At 45.6% G+C, this 4,060-nt stretch overlaps 1 pseudogene, besides 1 other annotated feature; it reads left to right on the top strand.

The window, feature by feature from the left end:
* Nucleotides 360–859: an enhancer, noted in NCBI's record as "H3K4me1 hESC enhancer chr15:22646599-22647098 (GRCh37/hg19 assembly coordinates)". NCBI's record gives its function as "activates a minimal SCP1, AML or CMV promoter by ChIP-STARR-seq in primed H9 embryonic stem cells {active_cell/tissue: H9 hESC(primed)}" and the evidence as "EXISTENCE:reporter gene assay evidence [ECO:0000049][PMID:30033119]".
* Nucleotides 437–941, top strand: LOC100421667 (abhydrolase domain containing 17C, depalmitoylase pseudogene; annotated as a pseudogene).

Raw genomic sequence — 4,060 nt, 5'->3', positions numbered from 1 at the left:
AGTGTACCCTGTTCCGGCCAGTGCACCAGGAACGGCTTTCTAACCTGGGCAGGAAGGCGTGAAGCATTCAGGATGTGGGGGGGCACACAGTTCCCAGTGTGCGCCCAGGGATGACCAAGAGAAGGAGAGGCGCCAGGGCTTCCCCTACCCTAGCCCGAGGGGGACTCCCTAGCCAGGATCCAGCAGATCCTGGCTAGGAAACGCCAGTGAACCATAGCGCCAGGGAACAGGACCAGGCCGCCGGCTCCGCCCACCGCTGCGGTCTTGGGGGACTGGGGGTGGCCCTTGGGACTGCTGTGGAGCCTGGGCCTGACCCACTGACTAGGCTGAGCCGGGAGACTGGAGAGTCGCATCTGGAGCTGGGCCCGGGGACGCCCGCTGGCGGGAGGGGTGCGCGCGAGTCGGAGGCCGCGGCTGACCCTGCTCCGGTGCCGCCAGGTACCGCATCAGCCCGGACAGCATCATCCTGTACCGGCAGAGCATCGGCACAGTGCCCACCGTGGACCTGGCCTCGCGCTACGAGTCCGCCGCGGTGGTGCTGCACTCGCCGCTCACCTTGGACCTGAGCGTCGCCTTCCCGACACCAAGAAGACCTACTGCTTCGACGCCTTCCCCAAGTGAGCAGGCTGGGGCAGGGACAGGGGCGGGGACGGGGACTGGGTCGGGGACGGGGGCGGGGCGGGGCGGGGCCCGGGCCCGGAGAGTTCTCACCCGCCCCACGCCCCTCCCGCAGAATCCAGAAGGTGTCCAAGATCACGTCGCCCGTGCTCATCATCCACGGCACGAAAGACGAGGTGATCGACTTCTCGCAGGGGCTGGCGCTCTAGGAGCGCTGCCCCAAGGCTGTGGAGCCGCTGTGGGTGGAGGGCGCCGGGCACAAAGACATCCAGCTCTACAGCCAGTACCTGGAGCGCCTGCGCCGCTTCATCTCCCAGGAGCTGCGCAGCCAGAGCGCCTAGCGGCCGCCGGGGCCCCAACCGGCCGGACCTCAGCAATAAGGCGGCCCCCGGACCTCACCCCGCACCGGCCTCCTGGGGGCTGCATGTGGACCCCCAGGTGGCCCGGGGGACCCCGCCCGGATCCAGGGGCCGTGGACGGTGTACAACAGAGCTACCCACTCCTTTCCTTTTGGAAGCAAGAAGAAATATGTGAAAACGGAAATTAAAGATTAAAAATTTTTTTTAAAAAAAACACAATGTTTATTAATATACTCCAAAGTTGTGTTCTTTTTTTTTTTTTTTTTTTTTGAAATGGAGTCTCACTCTGTCGCCCAGGCTGGAGTGCAGTGGCGCGATCTCAGCTTACTGCAACCTCCACCTCCCAGGTTCAAGCGATTCTCCTGCCTCAGCCTCCCGAGTAGCTGGGACTACAGGCGCGTGCCACCATGCCCAGCTAATTTTTTGTATTTTTAGTAGTTACGGGGTTTCACCGTGTTAGCCAGGATGGTCTCCATCTCCCGACCTCGTGATCTGCCCTCCTCGGCCTCCCAAAGTGCTAGGATTACAGGCGTGAGCCACCGTGCCCGGCCGTTTTGCACAGATTTTTTAATGCAGAATCATGTTGGCAATGGGTAATGGCTACCAAGGTGCCATCGTTCCACATTCCTGTTATTCAGTCATCACATCTACTATGTGTGAGCCATAATATCTTCTAAAATGAATTATAACTATGTTCGAATTGTTATTTCACTAAGTAATCTCTGCTAATTTAGTCTCTATTTCATCTCAACGGAATGCCTTCTGAGTTCCTATAATTGTGACTAATTCTCTGAGACAACATCAGCAGTATCACTATAAACTATGAAACCTACAAAGGGAATTTCCTCTTTTTCCTTTTTATTATAGAGATGCTTTTTTGTTTGTTTTCTGCAAGCAAGCACAGTCTTAATCAATTTTGTATGCCCATACCTAGGAGAGCCCCTGATTCATAATAAGACCTCAATAAGATTTGTTGAATAAAGTGAAAATAGGATTTTCAGCTTTCCCTCACCACTTTCTTCAAAACAGACTAGTTCATAACTGAAATAGGCATTGTTTCTAGAAAACGGTCACTCCAGCTGATCCCTTCGTTTAATCATTTTTGTACTCCCTGAATCTATGATGATACCTGGCACATAGTGGGTAAGTAATCAATATTTGTTCACTGAACTAATGGAAGGATGAGTGAATGAAACAATACAGGCATTTTAAAATTATAATTCAAAATTAACATATTACTTGTTATTAGAGTGATTTTAAACAGTTAAGTATATGATAATTAGGAAGATTTACTTTCCTGCTTCATTTAAATTTTAAATATAGTGATCAAGGTAATCATGATTTTCATTCATTTATGCAATAAATGCATATTTAATATTTTTTATCTCACATGATAGATTGCTGCTGGTCAAAGACATTACGATGGTATTATACATAAAGATTTGTTTTAAATTTACAGTATCTTGAAATTTTTCTCTTGTTAATCCACAAAGTATATTTATACATTGGGAAATATACTTTTTAAAATGTCAGTTAATGATATTTTTATTTTCTATTTTATCTTATTATTATTGATACAAGATCTCACTATGTCACCCACTGCTGGAATGCAGTGGCATAATCATGGCTCACCACAACCTCAACCTCCCAGGCCCAGGTGATCCTCCTACCTCAGCCTCCTCAGTTGCTAGGACTACAGGTGCCCGCCACCTTGCCCGGCTAACTTTTTCCTTTTTTTTTTTTTTTTTTTGGTAGAGATGAGTTTTCACCATGTTGCCCAGGCTGGTCTTGAACTCCTGGGCTCAAGCAATCTGCCAGCCTCAGCCTCCCAAAGTGTTAGGATTACAGGCATGAGCCACCACTATGGGGCAGATAATGATATTTTTTCAGGAATCGGTAAAACATTGTCCTTCAATGAATTAGTGCAGAAGCATGAAAAAATCTATTCTGAGCAAATCTGTGAAACAGACATTGAAATTAGTATTCTAATAAGGCTTTTGTGCTTTTTGATGATATAAAATAATTTTGCTATGACAATACAGTTACTTAAATGAGAAGTATGAATAACTTGCTTTGATATGTTTGTGGTATGTTTCACTTATTTTTTAAGAAGGGAAATTATTAAATTTAAACTCTCTATATATGTAAAGAGTGCACATCAAATATTTTAAAGCCCTGAAGAATTAGGTCTTCATTTCAAGAATTATTAAGTGTCTTAAGAACATATTTATTTTCTAGAAATGTTGAGCCTCTTCTTGGGTAATGTGATTCTTTTAAAAATTTTGAAAGGATTTTCTTATTACATTAAAAATGAATGTATGCAATAGGAAGTTACTAGGATAGAGTGAATTTAGCAGCTATCTTGCTTTGTTACATATGTCTTATAAATTAAAATTATATTTTCATAATTAAAAGCCAACAAGCTCATTTGCTTTTATAAGACTAAGAGAAAAGGAGTATTAAATGAAGTTAAATTAGATTTTACCATCTTTTTAATAAGTTTCAGGCCTGGTTTGATAATATATTCCCAGATACATAATTTAAAAATGATCTTTTGGCTGGGCGCGGTGGCTCACGCCTGTAATCCCAGCACTTTGGGAGGCCGAGGCGGGCGGATCACGAGGTCAGGAGATCCAGACCATCCTGGCTAACACGGGGAAACCCCGTCTCTACTAAAAATACAAAAAATGAGCTGGGCGTGGTGGCGGGCGCCTGTAGTCCCAGCTACTCAGGAGGCTGGGGCAGGAGGATGGCGTGAACCCGGGAGGCGGAGCTTGCGGTGAGCCGAGATCCGGCCACTGCACTCCAGCCTGGGTGACAGAGAAAGACTCCGTCTCAAAATAAATAAATAAATAAGAATTTAGTGAGAGCTGGTTATAGTTTGGAACCTCATTTGTGAAATAAACCATGTTTCAAAATATTTTAAGCAGAAATACATTTAAGTTGTAGCCTACAAATTACCAGAATTTGTCCTAGTCACCTAAATAAAAAATGTAAAAGTTCTACATTTTAACGTCCTTTCAACATTTTATGAACAGAAAACCCGGCAGGTAAACAGCTCAAGTCTGAATGGGAAATGATAA

This window comes from Homo sapiens, chromosome 15 (genome assembly GCF_000001405.40).
Source record: "Homo sapiens chromosome 15, GRCh38.p14 Primary Assembly".
Lineage (NCBI taxonomy): Eukaryota > Metazoa > Chordata > Mammalia > Primates > Hominidae > Homo > Homo sapiens.
The sequence above is the reverse complement of the archived record's forward strand: the minus strand, read 5'-3'. Positions and strand labels throughout refer to the sequence as shown.